We start from the raw sequence: 19672 nt of genomic DNA, 5'->3' as shown, positions 1-19672 counted from the left end.
CACCACCACACCCAGCTAATTTTTTTTTTTTTGAGACAGGGTCTTGCTATGTTGCCCAGGCTGGTCTCAAACTTCTGTCCTCTTGTCTCAGCCTCCCAAAGTGCTGGGATTGTTAAGAGTGAGCCACCACACCCAGCCAATCTATCTGCCACCTCTTAATAAGTGAGGAGCTCCTGGAAGACAGGAAAGGGCCTTCACCTGTGTGACCCTCACAGTGATAAGTATGATGTCCTGTATGTAACAGGCACTGAATGTATGTTTGTTGTGTTACCTCTGCTTTTTCCCACTCAATTCACAGATGTTGTTTTCATCATGTGCATGGCCTCTAATTTATCATAGTGGCTGATGCCACAGCTCCTGTTTGCTGTGCATTTACTACATGTGTTAGGTACTCTACATTTGTTATTTTCTTTTTTTTTTTTTTTTTGAGATGAGGTCTTGCTCTATCATCAGGCTGGAGTGCAGTAGCACAATGATGGTTCACAGCAGTCTTGACCTCCTGGGTTCAAGGGATTCTCCCACCTCAGACTCCCCAGTAGCTGGGACTACAGGCACATGGCACTATGCCTGGCTAATTTTTTTTTTGTATAGACGGGGGTCTCACTATGTTGCCCAGGCTGGTCTTAAACTCCTGGGCTCCAGCAATCCTCCCGCCTTAGCCTCCCAAAGTGCTGGCATTACAGGTGTGAGCCACTGTGCATGGCCCACTTGCTATTTTCAGCCCTTAGCACACCCTGCAAGGAAGGAAAGAGCACCATAATCACTGTACAGACAGGCAGCCATAGCTTGGGGAGGCTGAGGTCTCTCCTCAAGACTGCCCAGAGAGAGGCCTGCCTCAGATTTAAATGAGACAAGCCCAACTCCCCAACTCCTTACATGCCAAGCTCTCCTAATATCAAAGACCCAGGGGTCTGGTGGTGTAATCATGTAATCTTCCCTCCTACACAACGCCTTATAAGGAATTCAGCACAAATGCCAAGCTGCCCAATTCACTATTTTCAAATGTGATGCTGGTGAAGATTAAAAATGAATCTAGGTTTCTAACAAACAGGAAAATAAAACATACCAGGCTTAATGCTACCTTTTCTTTTTTTTGAGACGGAGTCTCACTCTGTCAACCAGGCTGGAATGCAGTGGCACGATCTTAGCTCATTGCAACCCCCGCCTCCCCGGTTTAAGCAATTCTCCCTGCCTTAGCCTCCCAAGTAGCTGGGATAACAGGCGCCCGCCACCATGCCTGGCTAATTTTTGTATTTTTAGTAAAGACAGGGTTTCACCATGTTGGCCAGGCTGGTCTCAAACTCGTGACCTTAGGTGATCCGCCCTCCTTGGCCTCGCAAAGTGCTGGGATTATAGGCGTGAGCCACCATACCTGGCTTGCTGCTACCTTTTAAATGTACATAGTAATCAAACTGATCCACAGAATGTCCCTTTCAGGGACATGATAACTGACCCCCTGAACCAGCCAGAAAGAGGAGAGGGACTTGCCTTAGGCAAGTATTGTGGGAAGATCACAAATTTACTAGACATGATCACTATCCTTCTGGATACGGACACAAAACAAACATAAAAATTACATAACAAAACAGGTGTTGAACAATATGAAAATGAATTAAGAGGTGCCCCAAAACTGCATGAGATTAACTATCAACTAGGTGGTAAAGGCGAGTGTGAAGAGAAGGAGAAAATGCTGATCAGCATGGACTGGAATAGTCCAGTGTAAGAAAGGTCTATGGGATGGCGTAGAACACTGGGGGAGATAGGAAGGAAAGATGGCAGGATGTCACTAACTGGCAGAACAGACAGCTGTGTGGGATGTCAGAAGAGAAGTGACTAGGAACGTTTTAAGGTAGCCTGTAATTTAAAAGGGATGTAATGGAACCGGGCCCACACTAATAACAGGATATTAACCACAGTGAAGGAAAGGAATACCCAGAGAACTTTCCTCCAAGACAGCCCTCTAAACCCAGTAACATCAAAGCAAGGAAGTGGTCCAGAGCAGACACACAAGGAAGGACAGCTGACTGCAGTCAAAGCAAAAAAGCTACTCATGGTTGGGGACACGGAGCAATGAGTCACTCAAACATAGGAAGCTGCAAAGTATCCAAGGAGCAAAAGTGGGGATGGTGGGAGGAAAGGACTCTCAATGCGTTCTTGGGAGGGGCAGATCTTACGTATTTTTTTCTTCCCAAAGGAACCTACTCCGATGCTTTGTGAACTGGTCTCACCAGTACAAAGGCAGATCCCTCCCAGCTCACATCCACATGCAAACGCTGCTGGATGTGGAACAACATTAGGCATATATCAAGGAAGCTCAATGTGTAAAAGCAATCAGTGCAGAGCTGTCCTGGGTAACGGCCAGGGGGCTCTGGGCAGCTTTCCTCTCCCCTCCTTGGGCTGCGCCAGCTTTTCAGCTGCCCACACATGTGATGACTCCATCACGTGTCTGACATAATGAAACATGCCACCTGTCACCTCAGCAGTAAGAAGGGCTAAACAAAGGCACTGGGATGTCTTCTAATCCCACTTCTTATTCAGACAATATAAGCAGAGAAGTGGAGAGAGCAGGTAGCTAGAATGTACTGAGTGACATATCAACTTGGCCCACCTTGCAAATACCTATGTGCTCCTGTCTGGGAGAATGTGTGTGACCTAAATAAAAGAACATTGCTTTGGTTCGTATTCTCCCCAGGTAGTGGAAGTGCATGTGTGAGGGGAGTCCTGGGGAAGGAAGGTACACAGAAAAACACCTTGGATTTCCTTTTATCACTAATAAAGGTAAATCCTCCTTATTCTTCAAGTTTCAACTTTAATCCCACCTCTTCCCTGAAATCTTCCAGAAGTTCCAGTCCAGTTTCTCTCCCTCTTCGAATCTTCCATAATACACATTTCCAGTCCTTATCTGGCACTTAAAATAACAACACAACTTCCACATGTCCATGCCTGGTCTCCCCAAGTTCCCCAAAGGACAAGGTGGATATTTTACTTTTAAGCAGATGGGGGCTCGCTCCCAGGAGGTACTGGCAGTGGCTGGCCTGGCTGCAGGAAACTCCCAGGCCAAAGCTTGTATTTTACTCTACTGTGTGCCCCTGCTCGTCTAGCATGGCGCTCCCCAGGTGCTCAGTGTGTATGTTCGGGCTGCACGTGGCTTCCAGAATACCTTCTCTTGCTATTCATGCTCCCCACTCTGGTCCATGTGTCTGTCTCCGGGTTGTAGGCCTCCACAGTGCTCAGCCGTAGCTGGCCGTCATATCCTCCGATGGCATAGAGAAGCCCGTTCACCACAGCCACGCCAACGCGGCTGCGGGCTGTTGTCATGGGACGGCATCTCTCCCAGCAATTGGCAATGGGGTCGAACACTTCCACCACATTCAGGGAATCACCTGCATAAAAATTTGCTACTCAAATTAAAACAAATGAGACCACTTGTTTAGAGCACAGCTATTGGGCATTGATTATATGGAACATTCGACTCAATTCTATTAGCTCTTCCCACAGAATTACTCAAGGCACAAGGGCCCACTAAGAAATTTCAGCCATGATCACCTCAAACCTAATTCTTTAAGGAAAATCAGAATCAGACAGGAGGTATTTATTTTTTAGAGAGGGTAGTTTTCAGTTACAATCAGGTACTCCACCTGCTTAAAGCCAAAGGTATAGGTGAATCGATACAATATTTCCTCCAGGCAGGAGGCATGCCAGAGGGACGGGCATGCGCTCCAGTGCTTTCATTTGCTAGGGGGTGACCCAAGGCAAGGGGCTTTGTGTCCCCACCCTCTGCTTCACATGTGAAATGGAGATAATCTTTATGGATTAAATGATATAACAGGTAAAGCACCTAGCATGGTTCTAGAATAAACTTTGCGCTCAATAAATAGTCATAGTAGCAAGGAATGATCATTCCAGCCCTACCTTTTTCATCAGGTTTTTGTGATGATCAAACAAAATAACCCCCTCTTCCTGTGGTATGCTGCTATGGGGCACTTAGCATTTCATTTGCACGCCGCTCCAGCGTGCACTGAGTTGAGGATTTACCTGTTCCAGGCCCTCTGATTAACAAGCAGCAGCTAGTACCCAACTCTCATTAACCTTCAATTAAAAACAAAACTGGGCCAGGTGCGGTGGCTCACACCTGTAATCCCAGCACTTTGGGAGGCCAAGGTGGGCAGATCACTTGAGGTCAGGAACTCAAAACCAGCCTGGCCAACATGGTGAAACCCCATCTCTACTAAAAATAGAAAAATTAGCTGGGCGTGGTAGCATGAGCTTGTAGTCTCAGCTACTCAGGAGGCTAAGGCGGGAGAATTGCTTGAACCCGGGAGGCAGAGGTTGCAGTGAGCTGAGATTGCGCCACTGCACTCCAGCCTGAGTGACAAGAGTGACACTCCATCTCAAAAAAATTAAAAACAATAAAAAATAAAAACAAAACTGCCTGGGAGTGCCCACCAACTGCCCCCAAGTTGGGAGGCCATGCAGCTTTCTGAAAACCTTACTCTTAGATTCAAAAACTGCCAATAACCCACGGACTGTAAAGCATGTGTGTGTTTCACAGGGGGTGGGGCTGAAGAGTAAAAAGTATTATTGACAGTGGTAGACCCTGTGTATTTGGATAATCTTTCTCTTGGGGACTTTCTCAGTCTAACCCCAGAGATCCATATGACAAAATGTGAATAGCCTGGTATGGAACTGGGTCTCTGACTGTATCCTATCCGGGGCTGAAGGATGCTATACCATAGCCAATGTGATATTAGGGCAAAAGTGCTGGCTCAGGAATCAGAACACCCAAGTTCTAGTCCTTGCTCTGCCAAAAACAATTGTATGAACATAGTGAAAGTTCTGTGGGGCTCAATTTCCTCACTTGTCAGGTAAGAAGGCTAGGCCTCAAAGATTTCTAGAAGGTCTCTTTAGCACTGATATTCTGATTCAATGGCATGAATATGTGACATGCTCTAACTGTAGAGCAATTGTATAAAATCAAGAGGGGCAAGGGTGGTGACAGTACAAAACAGAGAAACCAGAAGGGCCAGGCTAATTTGTCTGGTGCTTCCTCATCCATGGAGTCCAAGAGGAGGGTCTATAAAGGGGAGCCGCAAGGTACCTGCTGAGTTGAGGCCCCCTACAGCGTAGATAAGTCCAGCGATGGATGTGCAGCAGCGTGGCCGGGTTCTGAAAGCTGGCAGGTGGGGCCGGCGCTCTGGCATGAGGTGGTAGTCCTTTGCTTCGTCTACCAGGTCCCTAGAATAAGGTGGAAGATGCTAGAACAGGAGGTATCCCCCTGACTTAGTCCTCGTTTGCATCTCTGAGCCTGGCTCTCCACTGCCAACTGCAGGGGAAACCTGGGAGGAGAAGCCTTCTGGAAGGTCTGGTCTCAAAGAAACCAGGTGAGTTCTGGGAAAATCATACATGGCTACTGAGATATACTCAAAATTAAAGGGGCAAGACAAGCAAAGACCACCTCAGCTAGTGTAGATTAGGCATGAGAAAAACAAGGTAGTGGCCAAAATGGCTGGACCTGGGAGTTTCGACAAGCAGCATGCACCCTGTTGCCACTCAGACCTAGCCCTTCCTTTCCATCCCTACGACTGCACCGTGGCTTGCAACCTGCAATTAATCACCACTCATCTCCACGGTGGCAGCTCCTGACACATTTCCCTGCCTCAGGCCTGCCCCTCCATTCCACTTCCACACTAGAGTTCAAGCTAAGAACCTTCAATAGCCACCCACTGCCGACAGAATAAAGTCCAAACTCCTCAACAGCACCCTTGAGACCGCTGGTCACTGGGCCCTAGCTACCTCCAGACACTACTCCACCCCATCCTGACACACACCTTCACACCATCTGCCATGGACAGGCACTTACTTCCTCCTGAACCAGCTGATCCCAACCAGGAGTTGGAAAATGAAAGAAAGCTGAATGTGTGTAAAGTTTTTATCAGCAAAGGAGAAAAAAATATTTCAGGGTTGTGAATTTGATAAGCAATCTGGAGGAGAATGAACATTTTTCTCTGCTGTTCTACTTTTACAGCAATCATCCTATAGGGCTGCCATCTTCTGAACTGTTTGGGTAACTCTGCTGTACCATGTTGTCATTGATTTGCTCTGGGTAAAAGTTTCATGTGTTGGTAAACATGTCTGCCCCTTGCCCATCATCGTAGATGTAAAGCCTACACCTGGCAGAGGCCCTCCATGCCCACAGCACTGACTAATATTTACTGAAGAGGGCAATGAGCCCCAGGAAGTCCCATTTGCGCCACTGAGTGAGCTGCTGGTGTGGACAGGGTCAGAGCAGGCAGTAAAGATGGTTGCACATTCATAAATAGCTCAGTGGGGAAAGATGCTGGAAAATCCTCAGATAACTCAGCAGGGGAAAGCCCTTTCTGCTTTGATGCTCCCACATGGCACATCTCTCTGCCCAAGGCATAAGATTCGGGCTCTTCACACTTCCTGTTCCAGCTTCTAGACAGAGGGCAGACCAATCTGTGTGCCATGAATTAGACTGATCACTCTAAATGCTTTCTTTCCAGAACTGGAACAGGTGGCCAACTCCTCTTCCCTGCTTAGACCTTTGGCAGTGTCCTGTGCAGGTCCACCCTCACTCACCTGCATTTGTGGCAGCAACGCACCAGGTCATCCTGCTGTACTCTGTCTGAAAGGAACTGGGGCCGACAGAGGGGCAGGCGGATATTGGACAGCAGCTCAGGCAGGTAGGGACCCCTCTGCTCCCGGTCGTATCTGACCCAGGCCAATGCAGCTTCAAAGACCTGTCATGAGAGTGGATGTTCTGGCAGCAAATCCTCCCACCCAGAGGCCACACCCCAGGCCTCCAATCTCAATGCCTCCACTTCCTATACTGAAGCAGTCCCTTGGGCCCATCAATCTTTTCTCCTACTTGTCTCTGAAATCCCTGATTTCTCTCTACTTCCTAGGCTACTAGAACAGCTTCCTGAATTTCATTATGATTATGATTTCCTAGTGAAAAATCATCAATGGCATCTTATTACTTTCTGTGAAAACAAAATGCCTGTTTCCCTTCCCGCTGCTCCTGTACCCCTGCTCCCTCTAAACTCCCTCCATCACCCTCTCTGTACTCCGGCAAGGCTGGGCTGGTTCTCCTGTTTACACTGTCCCCCCTCATCTAAAATGCCCTCATCTCCTCCTCTTCATCTAAACCCACTCCCCTATTTTTAAGGCCTGGCTCTAGATCCATGTTCTCCAAGGAGCCTTTCTTAATGGCTCCAACCACAAGGACCTCTCCCTCTAAAGCCCTACAGCCCTTATGAAATGTATCACTCAAAGAAATGTGAGCTGCCCCCCCGCCCCCCGTCATATTAATTAGTTTAAGAGCTAGGGACAGGACACCTAGTTTTTGGAATGAGGCTTTTTCCTCGAAACCACAGTGTCTATGCTGCCAAGCCCAGGATCCACTTTTCTCCCAGGCTCCTATCAAGCCCGCTTCACCTCTCTAGCATCCCCCTTTTCTAGAGGAAAGAGGAAAATAAATCATACCTTTTAATCCCTCCTCAAATTTCTTTTTTCTTTTCTTTCTTTCTTTCTTTTTTTTTGGAGATAGGGTCTTGCCCCATCGCCCAGGCTGGAGTGCAGTGGCGCAATCTCAGCTCACCTCAACCTCTGCCTCCCAGCTCAAGCAATCCTCCCACCTCAGCCCAAGTAGCTGGGATTACAGGCCAGGAGTTTAAGCTGGACCAGGCCTGGCTAACTTCTGTGCTTTTAGTAGAGATGGGGTTTTGCCATGTTGCCCAGGCTGGTCTCAAACTCCTGAGCTCAACAAATCTGCCCACCTTGGCCTCCCAAAGTGCTGGGATTACAGGCGTGAGCCACTGCTCCCGGCCTTCCTTAAGTTTCTAACCTTCGTCCCTCATCCTCACTCTCAGGTGAGAAAATAGAAAATCAGAAGAGAATTTCAGTAAGAATCTACCTGTCCCCCGTCCCTGGGCGTGTGCCCCAGCTCTCCCTCCTGCTACTGTGGATATGGATGGCTTGTGCTCCTATCAAAGATGCACACCCTTATGCCCTAGACTGTCCTCACTTATTCCAGAACATCATTCCAACAACTGCTCTCCCATTTCTCCAATATTATCAATTCTTCCCTCTCTTCTGGAAAACTCCCAACAGCAGTCAAATATGCTGTAATTTCTCTCACTTTAAAAAAAAAAAAAAAAGGTCGGGCCTGGCGCAGTGGCTCACGCCTGTAATCCCAGCACTTTGGGAGGCCGAGGTGGGCAGATCATCTGAGGTCAGGAGTTCGAGAACAGCCTGGCCAACATAGTGAAACCCCGTCTCTACTAAAAATACAAAAGTTAGCCAGGCATGATGGCGCACACCTGTAATCCCAGCTACTTGGGAAGCTGAGGCAGGAGAAATGCTTGAACCTGGGAGGCTGAGGCTGCAGTGAGCTGAGATTGTGCCATCGCACTCCAGCCTGGGTGACAGAGTGAGACTCTGTCTCACAAAAAAAAAAAAAAAAAAAAAAAGGCCTGGCATGATGGCTCATGCTTATAATCCCAGCACTTTGGGAGGCCAAGGTGAGAGGATCATGTGAGGCCAGAGTTCAAGACCAGCCTGGCCAACGTGGTGAAACCCCATCTCTACTAAAAATATAAAAATTAGCCAGGCATGGTAGCGGGCACCTGTAATCCCAGCTACTTGGGAGGCTGAAGCAGGAGAATTGCTTGAACCCGGGAGGCAGAGGTGCAGTGAGCTGAGATTGTTGCCACTGCACTCCAGCCTGCCTGGGCGTTGGAGCAAGATTCTTTCTCAAAAACAAACAAACAACAACCCCTCTTGATTTCACAGACCCCTCCCACAGCTGCCCCAATGTTCTGTTCTTCCTTAGAACAAGATTCTTTCAAAAAGTTATCTATACTAGGCCGGGCACAGTGGCTCACGCCTGTAAACCCAGCACTTTGGGAGGCCAAGATGGGCGGGTCACTTGAGGTCAGGAATTCGAGACCAGCCTCGCCAACATGGTGAAACCCCGTCTCTACTGAAAGTATAAAAATTAGCCTGGCATGGTGGTGCATGCCTGTAATCCCAGCTACTCAAGGAGGTTGATGCGGGAGAATTGCTTGAACCTGGGAGATGGAGGTTGCAGTGAGCCAAGATCGCACCACTGCACTCCAGCTTGGGTGACAGAATGAGACTCTGACTCAAAAAAACAACAAAAAAATTATCTATGCTTGCTGTTTCTGGTTCACAGGAGGATTATTTCTAATAGTAAATATTGGAAATAACCCAAACATGCAAGAATAAGGTGAGTAGGTTGACAAAAATCAACAGAATGCTATTTAGACACTAAAATGTATGGAGGCCAGGTGCGGTGGCTCACGCCTATAATCCCAGCACTTTGGGAGGCTGAACTCACTTAAGGACAGTAGTTCAAGACTAGCCTGGGCAACATGGTGAAACCCGGTCTCTACAAAAAATACAAAAACTAGCTGGGTGTGGTGGTATGTGCCTGTAGTTCCAGCTACTCGGGAGGCTGATGTGGGAGGATGAGGCTGCAGTAAGCTATGATCTTGCTACTGCACTCCAGCCTAGGTGACAGAGCAAGATATTATCTCAAAAAAATAAATAAAACATAGAAAGTTTTCATGAAAAATGCATGATACAGTAAAACAAGCCCAATAATATACAACAGCCACATACATGTCATGATCTTAACTTTGTAAAAAAATACATAAACAAAACAATGACTATAAAGAGCAGCATCTCATGTCACCTGCACAGACTGCTACTGGGCTCACATACCTGCTCCTCAGATTTGACATTCAGCTCATCCCGAGACACCAGCTCAAGCACGTCTTCCAAGGGCAGGGCCAGGAACTCTTCTGACATGGACACCTCCACAAAGTGCTGGTGGATGAAGCTGTTGGCAGCGTCGTACAGCACAGCACACATCATTGTCTCAGCAAACTGGCGCACACCCAGGCAGTTTTTTGGGTGAAGCCTTTGGCATAAGGAAAGAAAAAAAAAATTAGAGGAAGAAAGGATGTTATCTTTGATCATTCTCAGGCTGGTTCTGGGTAGAGCCACAGAATGAAAACAAATTCTTAACCTCAGCTTTGTTGGAAACTGTATTTCTCTGGGACTCAACTTCTAAAGGTATAAAATTAAGAAGAAAGATTATCCTCAAAGGTCCCTGCCTTTTGGGCCTGGTGCTCTGTGCGTCAGGTGGAATGAGCTCTCTGGGTAGTTCTGTAAAGTAACTGTCAGAAGGTGAGAAGTAACCATCACAGGAGTGCAGGCACTGAAAATCTGTTTGAGACGTTCCACCACTGAAATTCCTGGTTGAGTGTCCAGGGCATTATCTCAACTTTGGTCACAAGGAAGGCACTGAAGTCACAGAATTAGAGTTTAAAAAACACAGACAGGGCTGGACACGGTGGCTCACGCCTGTAATCCCAGCACTTTGGGAGGCTGAGGCAGGCAGATCACGAGGTCACGAGATCAAGACCATCCTGGCTGACACGGTGAAACCCCGTCTCTACTAAAAATACAAAAAATTAGCCGGGTGTGGTGGCGGGCGCCTGTAGTCCCAGCTACTTGGGAGGCTGAGGCAGGAGAATGCTGTGAACCCAGGAGGCGGAGCTTGCAGTGAGCCGAGACTGCGCCACTGCACTCCAGCCTGGGCGACAGAGCAAGACTCCGTCTCAAAACAAAAAACAAAAAACAAACAAAACAACAACAAAAAAAACACAACACGGACAGATGGCTTCTTTAGTATGGGAACTCTTATACTTGTCTTTTTTTTTCCTTTTTTTTCTTTTTTGAGACAGGGTCTCACTTTGTCCCCCAGGCTGGAGTGCAGTAGCGTGAACACGGCTCACATCACCCTTGACTTCCTGGGCTCAAGCGATCCTCCTGCCTCAGCCCTGCAAGTAGCTGGGACTACAGGTGCCACCATGCCTGGCTAATTTTTGTACTTTTTGTGGTAGAGACAGGGATTCACCATGTTGTCCAGGCAGGTTTGAACTCCTGAACTCCAGCAACCCACCTGCCTCGGCCTCCCAAAATGCTGAGATTTTTTCTTGTTTTAGATAGAAAGAGACTCCACGGGCCTAATTGTTCAGACAAGCAGAAACAACAGCAGCAGCTATCATTTATTTACCATCAGTGAGTCAAGTGTTTTGCTAGGCCTTTTATACACATTCTCCAGAATCTTCTTAACCTGTAAAGTAGTAACGCACTCACAGATGGAAAACAGGCTCAGGGAAACCAAAAATGGTGCTCACAGTCCCTTGAGATAAGCAAGTGGTGGTGCTGAGATTGAAATCAGGACTCTTGTGCACATTCCCACGGTAGCCTGGCAGACTTACACTCATCAGGGCTAGAGAAACCCAGGATAAATCCTGGCCCTGATGCTCATGGGGCAACTTGGGTGGGTTATGTTCTTCCAAGTGTCAGTAATTTGCTCACCTGAAAGAAGATGATGACAACAGCTACCCACCTCTTAGGGCTGAGCCATGATACATGGTACCTGGTATGAAGTTAATGGCTGTCTTAATTTTTTATTATGGTTGTTTTTGTTTTTTGAGACAAGGTCTTATTCTGTCACCTAGGCTGTAGTGTAGTGGTGCAATTATGGCTCATGATAGCCTTGACCTCTTGAGCTCAAGTGATCCTCCTACCTCAACCTGCCAAGTAGCTGAAACCACACACCTAGCTAATTAAAAAAAAAAAAAAAAAGTGTTTTTTGGTAGAGAAAGCATCTCCCTATGTTGCCCAGACTGGTCTCAAACTCCTAGGCTCGAGCAATCCTCCTGCCTTGGCCTCCCAAAGTGCTGGGATTACAGGCATGAGCCACTGTGCCCAGCTTGTTTTTCTTACTACTGTTGCATCTAAGAAAATTCCAAACGAGCCCAGTGCGATTCTAAAATCTTGGTGACAGCAGCAGACCCTGGGGGATTCTTATTTGGCTCCATGACTGATTCTCTGTAGGGATGGTATTGATCAGATTAAAAATTGGCCGGGCATGCTTTTCTTCATTAGAAAGGTTTATGTCTTTTCCCCGACGTTAAGGTTTTAGGCACAGGGTTATATTTATTTAGCAATATTCACTATTGTCCCCTAGCAGTTGACCCATCAAGGACTGAATGAATGGGCAAGGTACCTTGGAGCCTGGCTTTATGACTAGTCAAAATTCTACATAGTTATTTCATTCCAGCCTGAGCTTGCTCTGTCCATTGCTTTGGAAACTGATGTGAATTTAGAAGAGCACAGAAACATAAGCAGAGAGCAAGATGTAGGCAAAGTTCATGGCCACTGAGGAATACAGCGCTGAAGGTCAGAATGTCAGCTCAGTCATCTGTCAAATGCCTTTCTCCTAAAGCACTTATAGTGATTGAATGAGACTTGTTAAAGCACTTTACAAATATAAGGCAGATATAAAGATAAACCTTCCCTGGGCCTCTACAGCATGTGCTTCACTATTTCCTAACACTTTGACATCAACCTGAGAGGAGGATTCAAAATGCCACGGGGCAGAAGCTGGATCAAGTCCAAGGATATGGGAGCCAATGATCAACGTAGCCATTGGCATTCATTTCCAAACTCTCCTTCTCAGGTTAGGATTCTCGTACCTTATTTTTGGGTGTCTTTGATTAGCTTGGCATAATACTGAGCACAAAACACACCTTTTTTTTTCCCTTTTGTTTTTTTTGAGACGGAGTCTCCTGGTGTTGCCGAGGCTAGAGTGCAGCGGCATGATCTCAGCTCACTGCAACCTCTGCCTCCTGGGTTCAAGTGATTCTCCTGGCTCAGCCTCCCAAGTAGCTGGGATTACAGGCGTGCGCCACCACGGCCGGCTCATTTTTGTATTTTTAGTAGAGATGGCATTTCACCATGTTGGCCAGGCTGGTCTCCAACTACTGACCTCAGGCGATCTGCCTGCCTCGGCCTCCAAAAGTGCCAGGATAACAAGCGTGAGCCACCACGCCCGGCCAAAACACACCTTCCTTTTTTTTTTTCTTTTTTTTTGAGATGTAGCTTCGCTCTTGTTGCCCAGGCTGGAGTGCAATGGCACGATCTCGGCTCACCGCAACCTCCACTTCCCAGGTTCAAGCGATTCTCCTGCCTCACCCTCCCGAGTAGCTGGGATTACAGGTGCCTGCAACCATAGCCAGCTAAGTTTTTTGTATTTTTAGTAGAGATGGGGTTTCACTATGTTGGCCAGGCTGGTCTCGAACTCCCGACCTCAGGTGATCCACCCTGCCTCGGCCTCCCAGAGTGTTGGGATTACAGGCGTGAGTCAACGTACCCAGCCAAAACACACCTTCTTAACTGAACTGGGCTTTTACATCCAAGAGGATGGGGGACGTGGGGAGCCTGTTTGTGAGGCAATTAGTGGGGGAAAAGGAAGGAGAGCGGCCACACAGGAAAGGGGCCCATGCAAGAGGAGGAGGGAGATATGAGGGAAAATAAACCTACAGCTACAGGGTTGATGGAGACCCACGTCTTTCATTAGCCACATCACAACCTTCTTCCTTGCTGACACAGCTTGACTTTGGAAGCAAGAAGACAGCATAAGACATAATGCTTTATCAGAGGCAGGAAGCGGTGACTTGAATTAAACAGGTTACTGACGTGGTTCATTGACGCATTTGGTGTACCAATCTACCTCTGAGAGAATTTCAGAAAATACACAGCTCCAAGGCTGGGTGTGGTGACTCACACCTGTAATCTCAGCACTTTGGGAGGCCGAGGTGGGCAGATCACTTGAGGTCAGGAGATCAAGACCAGCCTGGCCAACATGGTGAAACCCCATCTCTACTAAAAATACAAAAATTAGCTGGGTGTGGTGGCACACGCCTGTAGCCCCAGCTGCTCCGGAGGCTGAGGCAGGAGAATCGCTTGAACCTGGGAGGTGGTGGTTGCAGTGAGCTGAGATCATGCCACTGCATTCCTGCCTGGGCGACAGAGCAAGACTCTGTCTCAAAAATAAATAAATAAATAAAAATACAAAAATTAGCCGGGCATGGTGGCAGGCACCTGTAATCCTGCTACTCCGGAGGCTGAGGCAGGAGAATGCTTGAGCTCGGGAGGCAGAGGTGGCAGTGAGCCGAGATCACGAAACTGCACTCCAGCCTGGGTGACAGAGTGAGACTCCATCTCAAAAAAAAAAAAAAGCAAGAAAATACACAGCTCCAGTGCTTGCCTAAAAGCAAGGAGGCCCATACATTTGAAGGCCGGAAATAGGGCCACCAGAAAAAGTCAACCCCAGCCTCAGGGGGAAAAAAAGCAGCGGGCTGAAGATGTAATAGACTGAGCAGCCTCAGGAACTGTGGCTTTAAGAACTCTGATGGCATTGTGGCTTCTCTGTGCTGTCACATATCTTTTCCACTGGTGCTCAGAATGGTTTTCCTCAAGTCGCTGGCAATCAAATCTTGAAAATGATGCACCCTCGGCTGGGCGTGGTGGCTCACGCCTGTAATCCCAGCACTTTGGGAGGCTGAGGCGGGCGGATCACAAGGTCAGGAGATCGAGACCATCCTGGCTAACATGGTGAAACCCCGTCTCTACTAAAAGTACAAAAAATTAGCCAGGCGTGGTGGCAGGCGCCTGTAGTCCCAGCTACTTGGGAGGCTGAGGCGAGAGAATGGCGTGAACACAGGAGGCGGAGCTTGCAGTGAGCCAAGATCGCGCCACTGCACTCCAGCCTGGGCAACAAGAGTGACACTCTGTCTCACAGAGCAAGGCTCCGCCTTAAAAAAAAAAAGAAAAAAAAGAAAATGATGCACCTTCAAGGGCACATACGAAGTGGGGAGCTGGGAGACACCATCACATTCTGTAGCGAGGCTCAGGGAGAATCATTCCAAGGAACAGAGACAATAATAGGAACTACTGGTGAGAAAACAGAAAGCAGGCCATGGCTCTGGAGTCTGTGGCAGGAAACAGGAGAGGTATAGGTTTAGGTCTCAGAAAGGGTCCTGAAGGGCTGAATGAAAAAATGTCAAAGATAGGCTCAAAACATCAGGTTTATGCGTAAGTACTTATTCCTAAAATGCTACTGGTGCATGCAAACCTGCACTGGCCTAAAAATGACTTTTCTTTTTTCTTTTTAGTTTTTAGAGACAGAGTCTTGCTCAGTTGCCCAAGCTGGAGTAAGGTGATTGTAACTCACTGCAGCCTTGGGCTCCTGGTTCAAGCAGTTCTCCCACCTTAGCCTCTCCAGTAGCTGGGACTATAGATGTGAGCCACTGCACTTGACTAATTAAAAAAATTTTTTTTTTGTAGAGACAGGGTCTTGCTCTGCCATACAGGCTGGTCTGGAAATCCTAACCTCAAGCAATCCTCCTGCCTTGGCCTCCCAAAATGCTGGGATTACAGCATGAACCACCTCATCTGGCCTAAAAATCACTTTTCTAAGCAACTTTTAGATAACAGTACTTTACAACATAGCCTGGATCCAGTGTTGACAGTGACAATCTCAAAAGCCCCCTAGGTGGAGCTGTTGTCCATTGGTGAAGATTCGAGGCTCGTCAACAATCCTTTCCAGGATTAATCCTACTTAGCCACAGAGTCATTTCAGCAGTGGTAAAGCCCAAGGCCTCCAAGCCTGGGGCTCTACCTTACAGAAAAAAAAAAAAAAAAAAAAAAAAAAGAAAGAAAGAAAAAGAAAAAAGGAAGTCATTTTCCAAGTTCTGTGGGAAAAAGAGGTGAACTAAGTCCAGTCTGTGTCTTAAAAAGCTCACAAACGAGCAGGAAAGATAGTGTGTGCTCCTCACATCTCCATATGCACCCTCTGGCCTGCCCCAGAAGGCATCCCACAGCAGGGACAAGGTTGGTTCCGCAGCTTTACTCTTACTACAAGGTCTTTATAAAACTGCGAACAGCACCACTTACCTCAGGATGAAACCCTTTACCCAGTGTTCAGCAGATGAGCTCCCCACTAAATCTTAGGCATCATTACCACGGTTATTTGATTAGCTGTACACACAGCAGTACTCAGTGTGATGACCATGAGCACCGTGTGGGCAGGATATGAACAGACAGCGGGTGTGGTCCATAAGCTGCTAACTGAACTGGATAGGTGGAGTGAGAATAGGGGAGGGGAGGTCAGCTCCATGAGGGGATGAGGTTCGGAGGGCAGATCTGAGTCAGGAGGAATGCTGACAGACCAGATACCTAGTGATCAGAGTAGGCTCAGGTGAAGGCTGGGTGTGTGAAGCACCATAGACACAGGGGTGCTGTTTGGGGTCCTCCTGCCTGTCTGTGGCCCAGCACTAACCCACATCCCCAAGCCTCTGCTGGTTAAAAGGCCTTTACCTTATGACTAAGAGCTCTGGCTCTTGAGGGGGAGGGAGAGCCTTCTTAACTGCTCAGGCAGAAGGTCACAGGAGACCCACGAGGCCTACTGCCAAGCACTGGAAATAGGTGGGGGTATAATCCATGGTCCCAACCATAAAAGTGCATACAATGATAGTTCCCAATGGACTAAGGAGGATAGAGAATTCCAGTAAGTGAAATTTGGGTAGGCTCTTAAATAACTGAAGTATGAAAAGGAAGGTCAAGAAATTCAAAGAGGGCTGGGAGCAGTGGCTTATGCCTGTAATCCAAGCACTTTGGGAGACCAAGGTGGGCAGAGTTTGAGACCAGCCTGGGCAACATGGCAAAACCACATCTCTACCAAAAAAATTACAAAAATTAGCCAGGTGTGGTGGCACGTGCCTGTAGTTCCAGCTACTCGGGAGGCTGAGGTGGGAGGATTGCTGGAACATGGGAGGCAGAGGTTGCAGTGAGGCGAGATCATACCACTGCACTCCAGCCTGGGTGACAGAGCAAGATCCTGTCTTGAAAAAAAAAAAGAAAAGAAAAGAAATTCAGAGAGCAAAGTACCTAAACAAAGATGGAGATGGCTATGGAACAGTAGAGGAGCACTGCACAAATCAGTTTGGTGAGAAATCAGCTAAATTAGTGGCTGGTGAGATCGGAGGGGGAGGAACAGAAGATGTACATGTCAAGCCAAGGGAAAGGGCAGGCTGGACTATGTAAATCATGTTCTGAAAAAATTCATCTCAAAGAAGTGGGCACTGCTACAAACTGATTTCAAGAAATGTAAGTGCTGCAGAATAACCTTTCCAGCTCACTCCCTTCATAAACCTATATATGGTCCCAAGAACTCAGCAAACTGGCAGAAGATTCCAGAAATGAAATAGTCATGTTCTCCACCAGGCCCACCACATCACCTCACCGTTCTCGAAGGAATGTGCAGCAGGCGTCTTTGATGCTCTGCAGCTGCAGGAAGCTCGCCCCCATCAGCAATGACTGGACATTTTGCTGGTCAATGGCAAGGTTGCCGTTGTAGGCAAAGTTGATCAGAGCCTCCAGGGCACTAGAGGAAAGAGGGAAAGCTGTGAGGTGCTTTCAGAGACGAGTCTTGGCCCACGGGAGACTCAGGCCCTAACTGAACTGACATTACTTAGCCCAGGCCCTTTGAGAATCTATCTAATGGAGTAACTACTTCACCACAGCCTAAAACTCATTCTACCAAGTTGTCTTCATTGCCCTACAGAAAATTCTAAAAAAGAGAACACAATCACCTACAATTTCACTACTGAAAAAGTCAACAGCGGTCATTTTTCTACATTCATTTTTAGTCCTTGATCGCCAACATGCATGAATTATATGGATATAATCATAAAATACTTATCAAGCCTTTCCCATGTTGGTACACTGTCTTCATGTTTATTGTTTTTAGTGGCTGCTATATAATATTTCAACATGCAAATATGCTATCATTTATTTCCTTTATTGGTAAGCATAATAGCCATTACCATCTTATTGCTGTTAGAACGTTTTTGAATTATTTCTTTGGGGTAAATTTCTAGAATGAGATTTCTGACATTTTTTCTGCTTTCAATTCACACTGAAAATGAAATCCAAATTCCAGCTATAAGGCTGTATGTGCTCTGGTCCCTCTCCATCTATCTATCCTCCTCACCTCCACTTTCTCCCTTTCTTACTTGATTCCAACATTCTGGACATATTCTTACCTCAGGGCCTTTGCAATGACTGCTCCCTGTTTGGAGGGCTCTTCCCCCAGATGGCTCATTCCCTCACTTCAATTAAGATGTCTCAGCTCAAATGCCACCCCATGACAGGTGCCTTCCCTGATCACCTGAAAATAGCACAGACTCCACCATCCTTCACTAGCCTTTACTCTGCTTTACTTTTCTCATATCACTTTCACTCTTAGCCATACCATGCATGTATTTGGTGACTGCCAAATCACTACTAGAAAGCTGGCAGAAGCCGGGCGCAGTGGCTCACGCCTGTAATCCCAGCACTTTAAGAGGCCGAGGCGGGCGGATCACCTGAGGTCAGGAGCTCGAGACCAGCCTAACCAACATGGCAAAACCCTGTGTCTACTAAAAATACAAAAATTAGCCGGGCGTGGTGGCATGAGCCTGTAGTCCCAGCTACTTGAGAGGCTGAGGGAGAAGAATCGCTTGAATCCAAGAGGCGGAGGTTGTTGCAGTGAACAGAGATCATGTCATTGCATTCTAGCCTGGGCGACAGAGTGAGATTCCATCTCAAAAAAAAAAAAACAAAACAAAACAAAACAAAAAAAAAAAACGGCAGGTGCCTGTAATCCTAGCTACTCATGGGAGGCTGAGGCAGTAGAACTGCTTGAACCTGGGAGGTGGAGGTTGCAGTGAGCCCAGATCACACCACTGCACTCCAGCCTGGGTGCCAAGAGTGAGACTCCATTGCCTCCCCCTCCACTCCCCCCAAAAAAAAGGTTGGCAGAATGAGAAGAGGTGCTGTTTTCTCACTGCTATACCTCAGATATTTGATAGAGCTGTGCTCATCATGGATGTTCAGGCAATCTCTGTTAAATGAAGCCCCTGGACTATTCATGGGACGAGCATGCCTCCTTCAGACACACACCTCAGAGAATAGGAGGGCACAACTGCCCTTGGACACCTTACTTCTACGTCTTTCCTCATAAGTAACTGGCCTAAGATTTCTTTCTTTCTTTTTCAAGAGTCAAGGTCTCACTCTGTTGCCCAGGCTGGAGTGTAGTGGTGTGATCACAGCTCGCGGCAGCCTTGACTTCCTCGGCTCACCTCCTACCTCAGCTTTCTAAGTAGCTGAGACTACAGGTGTGCACCACCATGCCCAGCTAATTAAAAACAATTTTTTTTTATAAAGATGTGGTTTATGTTGTCCAGGCTGGTCTTGAACTCCTAGCCTCAAGCAATCCTCCCGCCTTGACCTCCCAAATTGTTTGGATTTCAGGTGTGAGCCACCTTGCCTGGCCTGACCTGAGATTTCTACCTTGCCATGGGTATATAAATCCTCTTCCGGTATTGGGGCACTTTGATCATCTAGAGGGTAACACACAGTCTCCTAGCTCTTTTCCCCCTAGTTGTCACCACTGTCAGATTAAGAGGTTGGGCAATAACTGACTACCAGCTAAGGGGATAACCTTGGGCTTGATCTCCTTGAGCTTCAATTTTCTGAACCATGAAATAACCATAAGATCTGCCACCTTCTAAACCTGTGTTGTCTAATATAGTAGCCATTAGCCACATGTGACTATTTAACTTTAAAATTAAATTGATTAAAATTAAACAAAATTTAAAATTCAGTTCTTCAGTCCCACTAGTCGTATTTCGAGTGCTCAATAGCCATCTGTGTCTAGTGGCTA

The 19672-nt window shown here is 47.2% G+C and overlaps 1 protein-coding gene across 8 annotated transcripts in view, besides 1 other annotated feature; it reads right to left on the bottom strand.

Annotated features, from left to right (window-relative positions):
* KLHL18 (kelch like family member 18) overlaps window positions 1-19672 on the bottom strand; it is a 63873-nt gene that overhangs the window by 6899 nt on the left and 37302 nt on the right. For 6 of the 8 annotated variants that reach the window (XM_005265001.4, XM_005265002.6, XM_017006033.2 and 3 more), the window contains 5 exons: window positions 17210-17350; window positions 9769-9967; window positions 6601-6761; window positions 5099-5235; window positions 3161-3398 (listed from right to left, as the gene is read on the bottom strand). In XM_005265001.4, coding sequence (XP_005265058.2) covers window positions 3161-3398; window positions 5099-5235; window positions 6601-6761; window positions 9769-9967; window positions 17210-17350 — 876 coding nt within the window. The remainder of the gene's footprint in view (window positions 1-3160; window positions 3399-5098; window positions 5236-6600; window positions 6762-9768; window positions 9968-17209; window positions 17351-19672) is intronic. The other 2 variants (XM_005265003.4, NM_025010.5) reach the window with 1 other exon arrangement.
* Window positions 15905-16199: a silencer, noted in NCBI's record as "tiled region #13740; HepG2 Repressive non-DNase unmatched - State 15:Elon, and K562 Repressive DNase matched - State 25:Art". NCBI's record gives its function as "represses a minimal TATA promoter and a strong SV40 promoter by Sharpr-MPRA in HepG2 and K562 cells {active_cell/tissue: HepG2 | K562}" and the evidence as "EXISTENCE:reporter gene assay evidence [ECO:0000049][PMID:27701403]".

The sequence above is a fragment of the Homo sapiens genome, chromosome 3 (genome assembly GCF_000001405.40).
Source record: "Homo sapiens chromosome 3, GRCh38.p14 Primary Assembly".
Classification (NCBI taxonomy): Eukaryota; Metazoa; Chordata; class Mammalia; order Primates; family Hominidae; genus Homo; species Homo sapiens.
The sequence above is the reverse complement of the archived record's forward strand: the minus strand, read 5'-3'. Positions and strand labels throughout refer to the sequence as shown.